The sequence below is a fragment of the Homo sapiens genome, chromosome 8, assembly GCF_000001405.40.
Source record: "Homo sapiens chromosome 8, GRCh38.p14 Primary Assembly".
Taxonomy (NCBI): Eukaryota; Metazoa; Chordata; class Mammalia; order Primates; family Hominidae; genus Homo; species Homo sapiens.
In genome coordinates, this window is record NC_000008.11 from 12115598 (window position 1) to 12134514 (window position 18917).

General features: G+C 44.8%; 1 protein-coding gene, 1 long non-coding RNA gene and 1 pseudogene across 3 annotated transcripts in view, besides 1 other annotated feature; 1 reads left to right on the forward strand and 2 right to left on the reverse strand.

Annotated features, from left to right (window-relative positions):
- Positions 1–184: 184 nt before the first annotated feature.
- Positions 185–18917, forward strand: part of FAM66D (family with sequence similarity 66 member D) — a 35408-nt gene continuing 16675 nt past the window's right edge. Inside the window, exons 1-2 of the long non-coding RNA NR_027425.1 lie at positions 185–728; positions 6390–6453. This is a non-coding gene — a long non-coding RNA (family with sequence similarity 66 member D). The remainder of the gene's footprint in view (positions 729–6389; positions 6454–18917) is intronic.
- Positions 7045–7545: an enhancer, noted in NCBI's record as "H3K27ac hESC enhancer chr8:11980151-11980651 (GRCh37/hg19 assembly coordinates)". NCBI's record gives its function as "activates a minimal SCP1, AML or CMV promoter by ChIP-STARR-seq in primed H9 embryonic stem cells {active_cell/tissue: H9 hESC(primed)}" and the evidence as "EXISTENCE:reporter gene assay evidence [ECO:0000049][PMID:30033119]".
- On the reverse strand, positions 12261–13700 carry LOC392196 (ubiquitin specific peptidase 17 like family member 2 pseudogene; annotated as a pseudogene). Its single transcript, NR_003275.2, has one exon. The product of NR_003275.2 is annotated as a ubiquitin specific peptidase 17 like family member 2 pseudogene (transcript).
- Positions 16820–18502, reverse strand: USP17L7 (ubiquitin specific peptidase 17 like family member 7). The gene has a single exon (NM_001256869.2). It carries the CDS (start codon positions 18410–18412, stop codon positions 16820–16822), a length of 1593 nt encoding a protein of 530 aa, NP_001243798.1. The 5' UTR covers positions 18413–18502.

Sequence of the window (18917 nt, forward strand, 5' to 3'; positions counted from 1 at the left end):
TTAATTAAAGCACAAGATATCGTACTCAATTTCCATTTGATCTTCCAAAAGAAAGTACTGAATAATCCACACCTGAATTTCAGTGATTCAGACTCAGGTCCACCGCTAAGACCAAACGTCCTGTGCTGCCACCTCATGGCCAGCAGAGGGCAATGAAACCCACCTTTCCGGCCATGCAGGGCGCATGCGCGGTCTGCCTCCCGCGGCGGGCCGGGTCTCCAGGGAGGACCTGAGTTTTCTTCACCCATTGTCAGGGAGGCGCCATCGCCCTGGCTTTGGGGCTGGGGCCTCCGGGGAGGTTCCGGTAGGGGCGTTGGAGAGGCCGCTCTTTTTGCAAGGCCCGAGACGGCGGGCCTTGCGCAGGCCGCCCTATTCCGCGCCCTCAGGGCGTCAGTATCAGCCTGAGGCTGGATACCCCCGCTGGGCCCAGATGCCCCCGCTGGGCCCGGAGCATCCTCCGGCGCTGCCCTCCCAGAGCCACGCAGAGGCTGAGGTGGCGCGGGGGCGGCCCTGGCTCCGCGAGAAGCGGCGGCAGCGAGGGCTGGAGGACCCGGGCTGCGGGGCTCCGGGGCGTCTGGCCTGGGTGGGACTGAGCCCATCCAGGGACTGGGACTCCGGGGTTCTGGTGTAGGTGGATCCGGGGCAGGCTCAGGACCAAGTCCCTCTCCTTCCACCAAGGAGCGCCCAGAGGCCGGCGGGAGCTCCAGGTTCACCTCCTCCTCCTCCAGGTGTTTACTTTTCCTTTATTTCTGTGAGGCCAGAAATTGTCGCCATCCTTCACATCGGTGAATAGGGACCCTAACACTCATTACCTCAGGTTTATTGTTATTGCCATTAACAGTGTTGGTGGCATTATCACTAAGATCATCATTGTTGTTATTATTGTCATTCATGATTATTAGCAGATGTGTTCATCATTTTGTCTCACTATGCACATATATATATTTGGGATTGGTTTTGTATGACGTTGAATTGAGCTTCTTTAATCTTGACCAGTGTTGTCAGATTTCTGAAGAGCATTCCGGAGGACATCTCCTGCCTTTCAGCGCAGCCACAGAATTTCGTGGGCACAGGAGAGCACCTAGAATATTCCCCTTTCATTGCACAGCAGCTTTGGGAAATAGTGGCTGCCTGGCTCTGAGATGAGGTAGAAAAGACTGGATACTGGGGCAAGTGTTAGCACCACCACTGGTGTTTTTATGAAGCTAAGAGCACTGTCTCCCAAGTAGACTTAGAATAAAATCTGATGGCTCTAAAGGGCTATGGCTGCCCTTCCTGGGACTTCCTGGGAACCTTTAAACCTTCTGTGGTTCCTGGAGTAGGTAGGTTGCCAAGTCTGTGCCTCATATGGTAGCACCAGTCTTTTCTGGGCCAACAAGGGCACTTAGAATGTTTCCAGAAGCTCAGGCGTGCCGTCTCTGTTCCTCCCTTCTGTTCAATGGCAATTCCCTGGGTCCCTGGCTGTCATAGAACGTCCTGCAGAAGGTTGGGCTTGGGTGACTTCCTGGCCAGCCTTCTCAGGCAGTCATCTTTGAAAACCTTGAAGAGACTCACAGAGGCCATTCACTGGTATTTCATGACTGCGAGTGGGGTTTCTGGATCCTTGAGTTTACTTGGAATATTTGAATGGCTCTGAATGGCCAAGAAACCCTCCCTGGTCTTAGAAGCTGCCAAAAGCTATTACTGGGCCTCTGAAGAGACTTTAAAATTTTTCCAAGTACATTTGGGCATAGGAAACTTTTCCAGGTCTAGCTGAGCCAGCTCAGGTCGAGTCCTGAAAAACTGGTGGGTACTGGGGGATCTCATCTTATGAAAGAGCAATTGGTGGCAAAGCTGGGTCTCCAGGACAGCTGTGTGTGTATATGTCTGTAGAACATGCCTTGTAGTCATCTTTGGTAACTGAACACCATTTGTGAATGGATAAACTATATTCATTGCTGTACAATAATGAAAAATCCATATTAACAATGGCAGTAATAAAAATATTGATGGATATTAACAGGAATAATGATCATCATGATACTAGTACTAATGGTTTTAATAGTGATAATAATACTAACCCTATGGACTTGGGACATATAAGTTTTCCATAAGTGGATAATAGGCATAAATATTTGGCTGTGTAGGGTTATTTCAAGTCCCAAAAAGCAAGGATGAACATCTAGAACGAGAAGAAAAACAATCTGGAGGTTAGTATGTGCACACCTGGGGACTCCTGTGTTAACTTCTGGTGTTTCAGCCTAAGAGAGAATGTTAATATAACCCTGGTCCTGGAACACCATGCTGACCAACACCTATCAGCTTTCAGGAGATAAGACAGCTGGCTGATGGGGCAGGGATCCAGAGAAGGCACGGGTCCACACCTGCACATGTTGCCCAGTGGCAGAGTTCATGACAAGCAATAAGCCCCAGGACAATGTCATTCCCAGCAACCTGGCTGTCATCTGTCTTTCATGGCCCCTCTCTACTGGTACCTCTAGACATTGGCATGTCCTCCAGAGGCTGTAGGAGGGCATGATACTCAGTACTCTCCCACCTGCAGGAGGCAAGAAAGATGGAAACAGCTAAATACCATGGCTTCTGGATTTTTTTTGGTGGGCATGGCATATTTTGCATTTGCTTTAATAATGTTGGAACCCAGTCAGTGGCTTGCAATACAGATCTAGATGACTCTGGACACCTGTAGAGATTTTGACAATTTCCAGAAGGTCACAAGTTCTTGGAGGACTTTTTCATGAGTTCTTTGACTGAAAAGGTGGTTCAAAGAGCTTCTACACCGACTTAGAAAATGTTGCAGAGGCCAGGTGCGGCGCCTTATGCCTGTAATCCCAGAACTTTGGGAGGCCAACGCAGGTGGATCATGAGGTCAGGAGTTTGAGACCAGTCTGACTAACATGGTGAAACCCCCTCTCTACTGAAAATACAAAAATTAGCTGGGCGTGGTGACACGCACCTGTAATCCCAGCTACTCAGGAGGCTGAGGCAGGAGAATCGCTTGAACCTGGGAGTCGGAGGTTGCAGCGAGCCAAGATCGCGACACTGGACTCCAGCCTGAGTGACGGAGCGAGACTCTATCTAAAAAATAAATAAATAAATAAATAAAAAGGAAAAAAAAGAAAATGTTGCAGACACTCTGGTGAACAGGTAGGCCCTCTCCTGCCACTCCAGATAAAAGTTTCTTGGCCACAAACCTGATTTAGCAATATCCCTTCATCTTAGGTGGGTAACAGAAAGCCATTCATGACCTATCCAAGCATGGAGAGGGGATTTGACTTAGAAAACTGTTAGGTGGACTAGTTGGTGAAAGAAAGTGCATTCTAGGGCTCACAGGCCTACACATAGAGTTGCTATCACATAAAGCATATGTACGAATTCTTTCTGAGCCCATGGCAAGATGAGGGTGCACTTCATCAGTCTCCTATGCTGGTATGAATAGGTACTTGCCTGAAAAATAAAAGAATAATTCAGGAAGCCCATTCTTCTACAGGACACCAAGCAGTACAGTAGGATTCCTGGGGTTGCTGTGGTATTTATGTTTTAAGGTTGTCTTTTAATCATCTTCAGCAAATTCAACAGTCTTCAGGAACATAAAACAATTATTCAACATTGCATAAAAACGACCACAAATATATCCATGATAAAGAACTGTACCAATATAATAATAACATTAATAACAATCATAATGGTGATGATATAAATGTCAATTTAATGAAGAGAGTAATAGAAAAGCAGATATTTAAGAACATATTCCTGTAAGCCTGTGACAGTGTTCCCATACGAACCCTCATGTTATTGATTAGATGGAGAAGCTTAGGGCTACACCTTGAAATATCTTCTGTGATGGCAAAGAAGAATGGCAGTAGGGAGAATAATTCTGAGCCACATGAGAGCATGGGCAAAAGTGGAGATACCTGTGCCATGTGGAAATACATTACAAATGGACTATGGCAAAGGGTCTGGCCAGAGTCTTGCCTGACACAGGTCGTACAAAAGCCTTCAGTAGTTCACCCCAAGAAATAGCTGGTCCAGGCTGTAGATGAGAGACACTGGGCAGACAGATACACACACGCCTCCTGAGTCTCAGAAGTCTGGTGTGCATCGAACATTAAGCCCCTAGCCTACTGAGACTTCACCTCCCAGCTGCTCTTCTACCATCTGATTCTTGAGCCCCATCACGTTAGTGTCATCTCCATACTGGAATTGCCAACAATGTCTGATGGAGGGTTTCACCCTGGATACTTGGTACCGGCAGTGTATGAAATACCAGAAGGGAGGCTCCAGGGCTTCCATAGAAGACACATTCAAAAGTTACTCAGGTGATCAAATGGTCATCTCAGAGATTTTCAGTAGAACTGCAGTATTTTGTCAATACCTGAGTGAATGCAGAAACTATCCAGAGGCACGGGCATTCTAGGAAGCTCCCTATGTAAATCAAATACAAGGAATATCTACTTCTGGGCTCAAAAGCTAACTTAGAGAAAAAAAAAGTGAGATGCTGGCAGAAGGCAAATAACTCCACTTCAGTTCCCAAGAGAAAAATGGTTCTGTAATCTCTGAGTTTATTTGGAAAAATTTTGGAGCCTCAGGAAGACTGAGTATATCATTCCTGATGTTTCCAGGACAGATTGGACTGCTTAGGCCTTTGGGAATATTCTAAGTCCTCTCAGGTTTCCATGGGAGACTGTAACTCTACTCCTAGAGCTCACACCACCCCCGAGCAAGCTCATTGTTTTCTAAATATTCCAAGAAAGCCCATCCAGGGTATGCTTGTATTGGTGAGTTTCACTTTGGACTGGCAGGAGAAGACTGAGAATGATACATCCTGAGTTCACTTGGTAAAGGTAGGGGAGCCAAGAAGTCCAGATCTGGAGAGCACCTGAAACACCAGATGGCAGAAGGTCAGTAAGGAGGTAAAGTCAGCTATGGAGTTGGAGCTTCATGTTTACTGCATGTAGGATTCTGAGTTCCAGGACTGATGGGCTGGTGGGGATCAGAGACTTGTCTTCCTTGCAGGGAGCCAGGCCAAACCAGCCATCTGGTTGCACTACTGAAAGCTTTTGTGTGCCCAGTGGTGGGCAGGACACAAATCACAGTCCCTTCACCTCTGGCTGGTAGTTCTTGATGAGAGAGGTTTGCACACAAATGTTCATATTAGCCCATGGTCTCCTGCAGCTTGCTTTTCTTTCACCTCCTGTTTTTGATGTTTGCCATCATGGAACACATTTCATAGAGAAATTCTTTGACTCTGACTCCAAATTACACAAGGAGGACACAGTCTGTGAAGTTTTCATATATTTAGGGGAAGCTCCACATTAATTTTTGTATCCTTACATTTATATTGTCTCCAGTATTAAAATTCGTACTATTTAGGTTATTGAGTTCATTATCATGATTATTAATTATTTTTCATATATCGTTTCTTTTTATTGATTAATTTTTGTGGCAGCTGTTATATAACAATCACTAGATTTCCCTATTCATGAAAGATGTCCAAGTTAATGGAGATCACTAGGAGTGTTACTTTACAGGTATGTAAATACAGATAATCTTGGCTGGACTGTGGCTATATTGTCTGGTGTCCCTTTGAGGGTGAAGCCTCTTGTATTATTCTAAGTGACCTCTGGAGAAAGCAACTGTCTCATAATTACAGGGACGACTTGAGAAAGCATCCTGAGCCTATGCAGAAATGCAGAAACACTTCCATGATCTAAACAACCTATGTGAAGGCCTGAAAGCCAAAGCAAGATCCTCTTATTACAAAGCTGTCCAACAAAATTTTTCCAAGTAACACTGGAGGTCCATCAGTCACTCTTCCTGGTCTGGAAATGCCAGAAATGTCCTCCTTGGTCCTTCTGAGAGTCAAGATCTTTTCAAAATCACCTCAGGAGCCACAGAACCACTCCATCCTACCTGAAATTGCAGGATGACTCTTCTTTTGACCAGAATCTCAAAAATATATTCGTTGATAGTATTGATTCCTGGGAGCTGCCATTGCTTGCAAAAGATGTGCCAGAGACTAGACATTTTCTGTCTCCTCACTTGTCCAGGGAAGACTGAAGTTTTACTGAAACACAGCGATGGGAATCTGACCCTCTGAGCAGCCTCAGGATTTTCTAAGTCTTCCAAGCAGAGTGGAAATTCTGGTGAGGACCCATTGCACCCCCTGATGGTCTGGAATCACATAGGATGATGCTTTCAAACAACTCTAGGTGGAGATACATTTTCTGAGATATTCCAAGGAGGAGGGACACAATTGGACCAGATGTTAGAAGGACAGCTGAGCATTAAGTGCCTATGTAGTGTTTGCAGCTTAGTTTCCCATGCAGAAGGGGAACCTGGGCCCTGGTGTTAAAATTCAGTGTAATTCTGGGTTCCTGCTTTCCTTCCAGGAAATCCCACTTCCAACTGGATGTCTGGATGAACTACTGAAAGCTGCTGAGTGTCCTGCAGCAGGTGAGCTGTGGCCAGAGCCCAAGGATGAAGGGGGCTCCCTCACTCTGTGACTGTGAAGAGGAACCCTGAGGTGTAGCAGGCCCAGGCCCCAGAAGTATGGAAAAAATGAGGTAGGGAGGGAGGGGACCTCAGGAGAAGACTGAGGTCTACAGAATCCCAGGGTCAAGGGGATGGTGCGGTGTCCTGGCACTATCCTTGATGTTCCAAGAGGGGTGAGAATCCATCTCCTGAGTAAAAGCTTCACATGGGGTGAGGAGGGGAGAATTGAACAGAGAGGAAGCAGGGAAGGCCAAGACAGCGACCAGCCTTACAGCAATTTTAACCAGAAATGGACACAGACCCTGGACCCCATCACAGGAGTGCAGGCCTAGGACTGTCTCCAGGTGATGCATAGCTCCCTTGTCAGGTTAGTGGGTGCAGGGATTGTGACGTCTGCAGGGGTGTGGAAGGCTGGGCAATGGGAGCAGCTTACTGGGCTGGAACAGAAATACTGAACTTCTTTTCCATCAGTGAAATCCGCTTCTAGGTCAGAAAAAACTGCGAGTTCTAGAGAGGCAGGGCCTAGGAGGAGGTCAGGTCCTGAGCCTTCCTGGTTTGACCCCTTCCCACCCTCTGTGTTTCTGGGTCTGTCCTCACTTCCACCCAGCGGATCCTGAGTCTCTTCCTTTGAGTCCCTGTGAGTGTGTTGTGTGCAGTGGGGCCGGGCTGCTTCATCCACTGCACGTTAAATGTTTCCAATACTTTCCGGCCAAAGCTTAGAGTTGTCAGACCACTGACTTTGAATGTTGACCTGGTTCCTTGTGGAACAGAGTAATAGCTATTGAAGTTTAAAGTCACTTTCCTGCGTGGATGGTGAAGAGGCAGGCTGTTCAGGCATAGCTGTCCTCAGGCCTGGAGGGCTGTGGAGGTCACCGTGGGCGGTGGGTAGATCCGGAACCTCTGTGGCTCTAGACTTTCAACTATTTCATTTTTTCTTTTGTAGTTTTTGTTTGTTGCTTGCTTTTTTACAATGAGAACTAGAATGTAAGATGCTAAACTCAGCCTGTGGGGAACATGGATTTTCACAACAGCAACCACAGAACGTGGTTTCCATTTCTATTCCCTGTTCATGTGGGAGGCAGAGAAGGAAATCAGGTGCTCAGTTCCAGGGACATCACAGGACTAGGACATGTGCAGTGAGGGTGGAAGGCAGAGGCATTGCTTTAGGGCAATAAAATTACTGCATGCACACACATATGTATGTATATGGATGTATGTACACAAACATGCATATTTATAGATTCTGTTCTCCCTCTGTCTATATAATTTTTTTATTTCACACTTGATATGATTTCTAAATTTAAATACCTTTGAGACAAACGTGAATTGTGAAGGGATTTAAAAATGTCAGTGAAAAATGGAATTAACAATAAAAATATAAATATAAACTTTATTTCTCAATATAAGCTCTACTGAGGTCCAGACACTCCATTAAAGGATGATCCCAGCCATTCAGTCCATTGCTAAACAACTGAGGGTAACGGGAATTTAACCGTGTCAATGCAGTCTTCTATTATTAACTAAAGAAAAATGGGTGCCCTTTACAGTTATTTTAAGGTTAGGGAAAAAAAGGTCAGAAGAAACCAAATCAGGACTGTAATGTTGATGCCTAATAATTTCCCATGAAAACTCTTGCAAAATTACCCATGTTTGATGAGAGGAAGGAACAGAAGTGTTGTTGTGGTGCAGAGGGACTCTCTAGTGAAGCTTTACAGGGCGCTTTTCTGCAAAAGTATTTGCTAATTTTCTCTAAGAACTCTCCTAGTAAGCAGATGTTGTGGTGCTTTGATCTTACAGAAAGTCAACAAGCAAAATACCTTGAGCATCCCCAAAACCTCCATGGCTTTTGCTTTTGAGAAGTTTGCTTTTGCTTTGACTGGACCACTTCTACCTCTTGGTAGCCATGGCTTGAATTGTGCTTTGTCTTCAGGATCTTATTGATAAAGCCAGTTTCACTCCCTGTTAAAATTCTTCAAAATAATGCTTCAGGATCTTGATTCCGCTTGCTCAAAATAGTTACTAATAGCTCTGCTTTTGTCCACTGCTGATCTAGGCACAAGGTTATTTGGGACTCATCAAATGTAAAGTTTCTCAACTTTCACGTTATAGTCAGTATTGTGTAAGCTGAACCAATTGAGATGTCTGTGATGTTGGCTACAGTATCTCTTGTTAATTGTCAATCCTCCTCAATGAAGGCATAGAAACGATTTTTTTTTTCTCAAAAATTGGTATGGATGTCCCTCCTCTGTTGACTTCATCTTCAACATTGTATTATCGCTTCTTAGAATAAGGTATCCGTTTGTAAATGACTGATTCTTCAGGTCATTTTTCCCATAGACTTTTCTTAAAGAATAATTTATTTCACCATTTTTTGTACCCCAGCTTCACCGTAAATTTGATGTTTGTTCTTGCTTCAGGTTTGACAGAATTCATGTTGCTGCCATAGAGGGGCTCTTTTCAAACTGATGTCTTAAATCTTGTTCAGATATGTTAAAACAGGGCCAGGCATGGTGGCTTATGCCTGTAATCCCTGCATTTTGGAAGGTTAGAAAAAATAAAGTTTTTTAAAATTTTATTTTATTTCATTTTAAGTTCTGGGATACATGTGCATGATGCGCAGGTTTGTTACATAGGTAAATGTGTGCCATGGTGGTTTCCTGTACCTATCAACCCATCACCTAGGTATTCAGCCCACATGCATTAGCTATTCATCCTGATGCACTCCCTCCCCACTCACCCACAGACAGGCTCCAGTGTGTGTTGTTCCCCTCCCTGTGTCTATGTTCTCTCATTTTTCATCTCCCACTTATTAAGTGAGAACATGTGTATTTGGTTTTCTGTTCCTGCATTAGTTTGCTGAGAATAATGACTTCCAGCTTCATCCATGTCCCTGCAAAGGACATGATCTCATTCCTTTTTATGGCTGCATAGTATTCCATGGTGTATATGTATCACAGTTTCTGTATCCAGTCTATCATTGATGGGCATTTGGGTTGATTCTATGTCTTTGCTTTCATGAATAGTGCTGCAATGAACATACCCATGCATGTATCTTTATAATACAAGAATTTATATTCCTTTGAGTATATATGCAGTAATGGGATTGCTGGGTCAAATGGTATTTCTGATTCTAGGTCTTTGAAAAATCACCACAGTCTTCCACAGTGGTTGAACTAACTTACATTCGCACCAACAGTGTAAAAGTTCTCCTATTTCCCCACAGTCTCACCAGCATCTGTTGTTTTTTGACTTTTTAATAATCACCATTCTGACTGGCATGAGATGGTATCTCACTGCGGTTTTGATTTGTATTTCTCTAATGATCAGTAATGTTGGGCTTTTTTTTCATGTTTGTTGGCTGCATAAATGTCTTCTTTTGAGAAGTGTCTGTTCATGTCCTCTGCCCACTTTTGAAATTTTTACATTTTTATTTTTTAAGACAGAGTCTTGCTGTGTCACTCAGGGTGGAGTTCAGTGGCACAATCTCGGGTCACTGCAACTTCTGCCTCCCAGATTCAGGCGATTCTTCTCTCTCAGGCTCTTGAGTAGTTGGGATTACAGGTCTGCACCACTACATCCGGCTAATTTATTGTATTTTCAGTAGAGACGTGGTTTCACCAGCTTGGCCAGGCTGATCTTGAATTCCTGGCCTCAAGTTATCTGCCCACTTCACCCTCCCAAACTGCTGGGATTACAGGCATGAGCCACTGTACCCAGCTTTTGCCCACTTTTATATGGGGTTGGATTTTTTACAGTTTTGGGTTTTACATTTAAGTCTTTAATCCATTTTCAGTTCATTTTTGTATAAGGTATAAGGAAGGGGTACAGTTTCAGTTTTCTGCCTATGTCTAGCCAGTTTTTCAAGCACCATTTATTATTAAATAGGGAATCCTTTCCCCATTGCTTGTTTTCATCAAAAATAAAATGGTTGTAGATGTGCAGTCTTATTTCTGATATATCTATTCCATTCCATTGGTCTATGTGTCTGTTTTGTACCACTACCATGCTGTTGGGTTACTGTAGCCTTGTAATATAGTTTGAAGTTAGGTAGCATGATGCCTCTAACTTTGTTATTTTACCTTAGGATTGTCCTGGGTATATGGGCTCTTTTTTCATTCCATATGAATTTTGAAGTAGTTTTTTCTAATTTTGTAAAGAATGTCCATGGTACTTTATGGGAATAGCATTGAATCTATGAATTACTTTGGGAAGTATGGCATTTTCATGATATTGATTCTTCTTACCCGTGAGCATGGAATGTTTTTCCATTTGTTTGTGTCCTCTCTTATTTCCTTGAGTAGTGGTTTGTAGTTCTCCTTGAAGAGGTCCTTCACTTGCCTTGTTAGCTGTATTCCTAGGTATTTTATACTCTGCAGCAACTGTAAATGGGAACTTATTTGTGATTTGGCTCTCTTCTTGTCTATTGTTGGTGTATAAGAATGCTTGCGATTTTTGCACACTGATTTTGTATCTTGAGACTTTACTGCAGTGGCTCATAAGCGTAAGAATCTTTTGGGCTGAGATGATGGGATTTTATAGATATAGGATCATGTCATCTGCAAACAAAGAGACAGTTCAACTTCTCTTTTACTATTTGAATATGCTTTATTTGTTTCTCTTGGCTGATTGCCTCGGCCAGAACTTCCAGTACTATATGGAGTAGGAGTGGTGAGAGAGGGCATCCTTGCCTTGTGCCGAATTTCAAAAGGAATGCTTCCAGCTTTTGCCTATTCAATATGATATTGGCTGTGGGTTTGTCAAAAATGACTCTTATTATTTTGAGATATGTTCCATCAATACCTAGTTTCCTGAGGTTTTTAACATAAAGGAATGTTGAATTTTATCAAAGATCTTTTCTGAGTCTACTAAAATAATCATGGGGTTTTTGTCTTTAGTTCGGTTTACATGGTGAATTATATTTATTGATTTGTGTTTGTTGAACCAGCCTTGCACCAAAGGGAAGAAGCTGACTTGATCTTGCTGGATAAGGTTTTTGATATGTTGCTGGATTTGGTTTGCCACTATTATATCGAGAATTTTTGCATCAAAGTTTATCAGAAATATTAAACTAAAGTCTAGTAAACACATTGAAAATAATAACAGACTGATTAAAATACTAAATAATATGAATCCTAAGTGTTCTCACAACTGATTTATAGAGTAAAAGCATTGTTAAACCAAATGAGCTTGGCCAGAAACTGTATAGAGTCTGAGATGTTTTCTGAACTTCCAGTTACTCATTGTGAGGTGGAACTGCAGTAACTATATTTGGTGCAAAATTTCATGTTGATGGAAGCTGAGATGTCCTGCAGTCTCAGAGGGACAGAATTCTGGTGTATCTCCCTTTGGCCTATGAGGAATGAAGATTTAGGCCCTGAGGGTTTTGTCAAAATTTATAAGATGTAAGAAATGGGGACGTCTTTAGGCCATGAGGCAAGGCCTAGAGGTGTAAAGAAAACAGCTTCTGACCCAGGGCTCATGAAGTCAGCATAGTGTCAGAGGCGATGGTGGAGTGAGCATAGTATGGTCTTTGGAACCATTCCTTCCCCATATTTCTTCATAGGCCAAGTATGCGCAACCAGGGGGCATCTCGGGCCTGATGAGCAGAGTCCTGAAGAGATAAAGGGGCAATCCTGAGGAAGAGACTTGACAGGGAGGAAGGAGCCACCATTTTCACTGCTGAGAAAACTACTCCTCCCTAGTAAACCATAGGATTTTCCTTGATCCAGTGAGAGTTTTCCTGAGTGAAGAGAAAAGAGAGAGAAAGGGACTGATGTGTTATCTCTTTCTACCACCTGAAGTGATTCTGAAACTTTGGGGGACAGGAGAATTATCTTCAGAATCATGAGCAATCCAGATGCCATGATTACACATGAGAAACTGGAAGTTCTTATCTCTGGGGGGTAGGCACTAGGCATTGATATTCGTTAAAGCTCATTCACTGATTACAAAGTGAGACAAATAAATCTGCTGCAAGATTTATTCATGACATATTATTTCACCACAATTCAATTGTCTTCAGCACAAAGAGCTCTTGGTTCTCTGCCTGCGGACACCCTGTAACTGGGTCTTCCAAATTCATTCTTCTGGATGTAAAAGAGGACATAGGCCTGTTGACTCAAAGGAGAAGTGATACCAGAGGCAGTGACCTCGGCATCATCCATTTTATACCACTGGCCTTCTTGAGTTTGACACAAGAGAAGTAATGTCCGTTGTGACAACTCCACCCGGTGACGACGAGAACAGCATAGAGGACATAGAAAAGAGGTCCTGTGTTCTGCTGAGACATGTATGGCTGCATGTCAACGCACTCAGGATATTGCAGATTCTTGGCAAGTTTGTTGCCTGTGACATCGGAGAATCTCTTCAAGACAAGGATGAGGACCTTGGCAGAAGTGGGTAAAGTTAACGTCTTGGCGGCAGGCGCCTTCTGGAGACAAAGACCACAATGATAGGCATTCTCTCCATTGAGTTCTTCGGGCTTCACCAACTGTTCCTAAGCTTGCTTGACACTCTGAGCTGCCTGGATATCCAGGGCGATATCCAGGTAAGGGTCGAAGGTGTCTGAAATGCCGTGGAAGTAGAGACACTTGATTTGAGATCTCTAGTACCCTCCAAATATTTGGTGGATGAGGATGGTGTCCTTGCAGTGATGATCTAGCTGCTTGTGCCCGGGAAGGCATGCCTTTCTAATGGCATCCACAGTGAATATGAGAAATTCATGGGCATCTTCCTGCTTGCCTCTATGGAAGTCAGCAGCCAATGCCTGTGAGGGCTGGATGACATGGCCAGGACGGTGGAGGTGCCCGTGTGCTGTGAGCTTCCATAATACAGAGCATGCAGCACTTGGGACGATGACACATTTGAGAGAGCTCCCAGGACAGCATGTAGTTGGCAAGGGGCGGTGTGTATGTCAGGCACTGCAGGGAAGCATTCAAGTGGCAGGTATTTCCCATATTCTGGAGACCAGCTCCCACCGCAGCAGGTCTCCTGCTACTCGGAGGAAGCTTCTCCCTGGGAGCAAGCTGTCTTGTCACAGGAGCCAAATCGTCACAGAGGTCGACACGGGTCTCCGATGAGAGTGGTGACTTCTCAGGGAGAGAAGTCCGCTGGATTTCAGGAAAAGCTGCATCTGGCTGAGAAGATGTGAGTTTTGAAAAGTGGTTGAACTGCCACTCACCTCCCAAGTAGAGTGAGTCTTCCTCCATGTCGCCCGCAACAAGGATCACAAGGTTTTTCTGCTGGGACTGCAGGTTGCAGAAAGACGCTATCTCTTCCGAGAGAGTCTTCAAATAACGAGTTCTCTGGCCAAATCAGCCCTTACATAACTCACCCGCACCAAGAGCGAACACCCCACCCGCACATAAGGTGGGCAATAAACCAATCAAATATCAGCACTCAATTAAGGAATGAGTCACAGGGTGTGTCCCCTTGCATCGCTGGGAATTCAACAGACACAGTCCACATCATGACTTCTAAAACACCTTCATCAAATTACTCCTCAGGATGATAGGCACATATAATATGATGGTAACCGGGTTGGGACAGTGGCCACACAGTTGCCTTATTTTAGGTAAAAGAATGTCAGGGAAGAAATCTTTACCTATGAAACCGTGTGAGTATGTGTGTTTGTGTGCGTGTGTGTGTGTGTGTGTTTGTGCTGGGATGTACTTCCGAGTATGTGCTTTTGGCAGATACCATCATCCTTTCAGCGATAGAAGGAGAAGTCTGAAGTGCGCTTTCTGACCTGAGAATAGGCAATGAAGTACAGTAATTAGCACAGCATATTTTTTTCCTCAATAAAAAAGGAGAGATCCGTGGAATCAAACAGACCTCCCAGCGATAACCTTTCCATGTTCAGCCTAATGATTCTATATCCGAGTGAAATTACCTGCCAGTGGAGAAAAAGACAAGTCTTTACATTAAATGCTCTTGTGGAAGCTAGATTGCTGAATAATAAAGCATTAAGTCGTAGAAACATGCACTGAAGTTTGAAGAGATACTCAGTGCACAAACTAGACTGTAAAAGACTTTGGGGAAATAATGCAATCACCGAGAGACTAATTGATGACATTCCGAAAATTTATATTTGCCAGAAAAGAGAGATGGTCAAGACATTGCATAGCGAGTGGTTTTGGACGTGCGACGGCAGTTTAAGAAAACATGAAACAAAAAACTTGAGAAATCAGAAGGTATCCCAACTATAACCTTTGTTTTACAAAAGAATTGATGAAAATAAAAACAACGTATCTCACAGCACGCGTGATAATATTTTCATACGTATGTGATAATGGAGCAACATTTGATAGAGATGAAATGAAAATTTCTAAATTTGACAAAAGCGAACAACAAAAATTACACCGTAGAAAAGCGTGGGTGACGGCAGTGACGCCCTGTCTCAAGAAGTAAACATCCGAGAGATTTAAAAGTGGGGAGTGAAACCAAGGATAGCATAACATTGTTAATACTAGCCATTGTTTCAGTGGGAAAAGGCAAAAATAAGCGGTGTGTCTCCTAGATTCTCACATGAATTGTTCAGGATATGAGATGTTGCCTCTATTTCCAGTTATGCATTGTATGGTGGAATTGCAGTTAGCACATTTGGTGCCAAAATTTTAATGCTGACGAAAATGGACATGTTCCCTGAACTAAGAGGGACATAATTTGGGTGTGTCTCCAGGCTCTCTGGCTTACCAGGATTGAAGATCCAGGCTCTAGGGATTTTCCCAAAATGTCTTAGACAGTAAGCACCGGGGCAGAATTGAGGCCTGGCGCCAAGGTCTCGAGGTGTAAAGAAACAGCCGTGGCCGCAGAGCCCATGAAATTAGGATGATTTTAAGGAGGATGGTGGAATGAGAGGACTGTGATGTTTGGCCCCGTTTCTTATCCCTTGTCTTTTCATGGGCCAGGTGTGCTCCATCAGAAGGCTTTCTGTGCCTGATGTAAAGTGTCCTGGGTGAAGAAAGGGCACTGCTTAGAGAGGTGCTCCACAGGCAGGAAGGAGCCACCATTTTCAGGAGAATGATCCCCAGAAGCATGAGCAATCCAGATGCCGTGGCTTCACACAAGACGTCGGAGGGTCTTATTCCTGCAGCCGGGACCTGGGCATCGGTGTCCTTTAATGCTCATAACTAATTTTGAGGGGAGCCCAATCGATAACCTGTCTGCAAGTCATGCTCATCACACTGTAGTTTTCACACACGTCACACAGAGACCCTGTTCGTATGCACATTTGGGTGCTTGAGCAGGGTTGCGCCCAAGATTCTGTGGTTCTACGGAGCCCTGAGTTGTGACCTGGACAGCTTTCCTCAGGGGTTGGTCAACTTTGATCACTGCACCTAACAAGAAAGGGACCATGAAATCTAATCAGCAAATACAGAAAAGGAAGGGGCCATTTCCCATAATAATTTCCACAGAAACACCACGTCGGATAAATAAGTCTGATTGCAGGACAGGGACTGTGTTTCAGAGATGCAGCTTTCGCAGCTGGATGAATGACCTGGAATCTCCCCAAATGCCATTTGTAAACACACCAAATGAGGTTTATGTCAGGGCTTTCTGAATGTATTTTAGATGAATACACACACTCCAGTGTTTGATTTCCTTTAGTATCAATGAGACTTAGTTCCAAATGACTTCCGTGCCAGTGGGAAAATTTTCCGGTTCCACTCATTGGAAGTGGACACCGTGAAACAGGTAAGTCGGTCTGTCTGTTTCCCGCGTTATGTGGGTTCCAGCAAGAGCCCAAGTCTCAGGGCACCTGAGGTCCATTCAGAAACCAAAATAAAATGGGCGAGCCAGGGTAAGAAAGGAGAGCACCGTTCCTATCTTCCAATTGAATTCCAGTATCCACTATTCAAGGTGGCGAGAATGATCCACGGATGTACCACATGAGCAAAATTTCACCTTCTCTTGCCGACCAACAACTGACGAATGAAACAAACCCCAAGAGGAAATAGTAAACCATGTCCCCTGCAATAACCTCACACGCAAACCTACAGGTCAATAGGTCACATTAAGAAATACACACTGAATGTCATCTACCATGAACACAAACACACAGACAGTCCCTCCAGAGGTTCGGAAGACTCACGAACCCAAAACTTGATGTTTCCCATGTGTGGGCTCATCCTGAGACGCAGCCATCACTATCCAATTGTCCCTGTTGTAGAGACAGAAACTGGGGCTCCTCATTACTTTATGTAGGATTGACGGTGTTCGTGTTTGTGTGGGTGTGTGTGTGTTTCCGTGCGCGCTTGTGGGTGTATTTGTGTTTGTGTGTGTGTGTGTGTGCACCCATCAGTGTGGGTCGGTACTTCCACTGTGATCACTGGCACACAAGCAGAGATCTCTTGCTGTGTTTGTTATTCCCTTTGGATCTCCTGGTGCTCCCTTGCAGAGAAGCGAGTGTGCCAGTGTTCATGGACTCCTGATCTGTCGGTTTCGTCGAAGAGAGGTTTAGCAGGGAGCTTTGCTGTTCAGGATGATGGTTTTTCATACCACACTTGTATTTTGATTGATGAATCACAAGTACGTTGGGAGGCAGGGTACCTTCAACTTTTCTGACGTTGAACTCAGGCTTCGTTTTGTTTTGCTCTTGGGGGAATTTCCAGTGGTCTAAGGTGCTTTCCTGAGTGGCTCTTTCCACCAAGTGCTCGTCCAACTCGGGTACCTGGAGGCAAGGGTGGTCTCTCTTGAGCTCTCCTTGCGTTGCTGGCCTGTCTGTGTCTTCAGCACCAAGGGCTCTTGGTTCCCTGCCTCTTGACACACTCTCACTGTGTCTTTCCCATTCACTCTTCTGGATGTAAAAGAGGACATAGGCCTGTTGACTCAGGACAGAGGTGATGCCAGAGGCAGTGACCTCGGCATCATCCATTTTATACCACTGGCCTTCTTGAGCTTTGACATAAGAGAAGTAATGTCCGTTGTGACAACTCCACCCAGCGTGGACCAGCACAGCATAGAGGACATAGACAAGAGGTCCTGTGTTCTGCTGAGACATGTATGGCTGCATGTCACGGCACTTAGGATATTGCACATTCTTGGCAAGTTTGTTGCCTGTGACATCGGAGAATCTCTTCAATACAAGAATGAGGACCTTGGCAGAAGTGGGTAAAGTTAACGTCTTGGAGGCAGGCGCCTTCTGGAGACAAAGACCACAATGATAGGCATTCTCTCCATTGAGTTCTTTGGGCTTCACCAACTGTTCCAAAGCTTGCTTGACACTCTGAGCTGCCTGGATATCCAGGGCGATGTCCAGGTAAGGGTCAAAGGTGTCTGAAACGCCGTGGCAGTGGAGATACTTGATTTGAGATCTCCAATACGCTCCAAATATTTGGTGGATGAGGGTGGTGTCCTTGGAGTGATGATCTAGCTGCTTGTGCCCGGGAAGGCATGCCTTTTTCATGGCATCCACAGTAAACATGAGAAATTCATGGGCATCCTCCTGCTCACCTCTATGGAAGCCAGCAGCCAATACCTGTGAGGGCTGGATGACATGGCCAGGACTGTGGAGGGCCCATGTGATGTGAGCTTGCATAGTACAGAACATGCAGCACTTGTGAAGATGACACGTTTGAGAGTCCTCCCGGGACAGCATGTAGTTGGAAAGCGGCAGTGTGTATGTCAGGCACTGCAGGGAAACGTTCACATAGAAGGTATTTCCTATCTTCTGGAGCCCAGCCCCCACCGCAGCAGGTCTCCTGCTACTCAGAGGAAGCTTCTCCCTGGGAGCAAGCTGTCTTGCCACAGGAGCCAAATCATCACAGAGGTCGAAACGGGTCTCAGATGAGAGTGGTGACTTTTCAGAGAGAGAAGTCCGCTGGATTTCAGCAAAAGCTGCATCTAGCCGAGAAGATGTGAGTTTTGAAAAGTGATTGAACTGCCAGTCACCTCCCAAATAGAGTGAGTCGTCTTCCATGTCGCCCGCAACAAGGATCACAAGGTTTTTCTGCTGGGACCGCAGGTTGCAGCAAGACGCTATCTCTTCCGAGAGAGTCTTCAAATGACCAGCTCTCTGGCCGCATCAGCCCTTATATAACTCACCCCCTCCAACCGCGAACACCCCACCCACCCATCAGGTGTGCGATAAACCAATCAAATATCAGCACTCAATTAAGGAATGAGTCACAGGGTGTGTCCCCTTGCATCGCTGGGAATTCAACAGACACAGCCCACATCATGACTTCTAGAACACCTGAATCAAATTACTCCTCAGGCTGATAGACACATGTAATATGAGTGTAACCGGGTTGGGACAGTGGCCACACAGTTGCCTTATTTTAGGTAAAAGAATGTCAGGGAAGAAATCTTTACCTATGAAACCGTGTGTGTGTCTGTGTGTGTGTGTGTGTGTGTGTGTGTGTGTGTGTGTGTGTGTGTTTGTGTGTGTGTGTGTGTGCTTGTGCTGGGATGAACTTCCAAGT

Excerpts from the sequence above, each read along its gene's own strand:
- USP17L7 (NM_001256869.2), bottom strand. The coding sequence starts at position 18,412 with ATGGAAGACGACTCACTCTATTTGGGAGGTGACTGGCAGTTCAATCAC.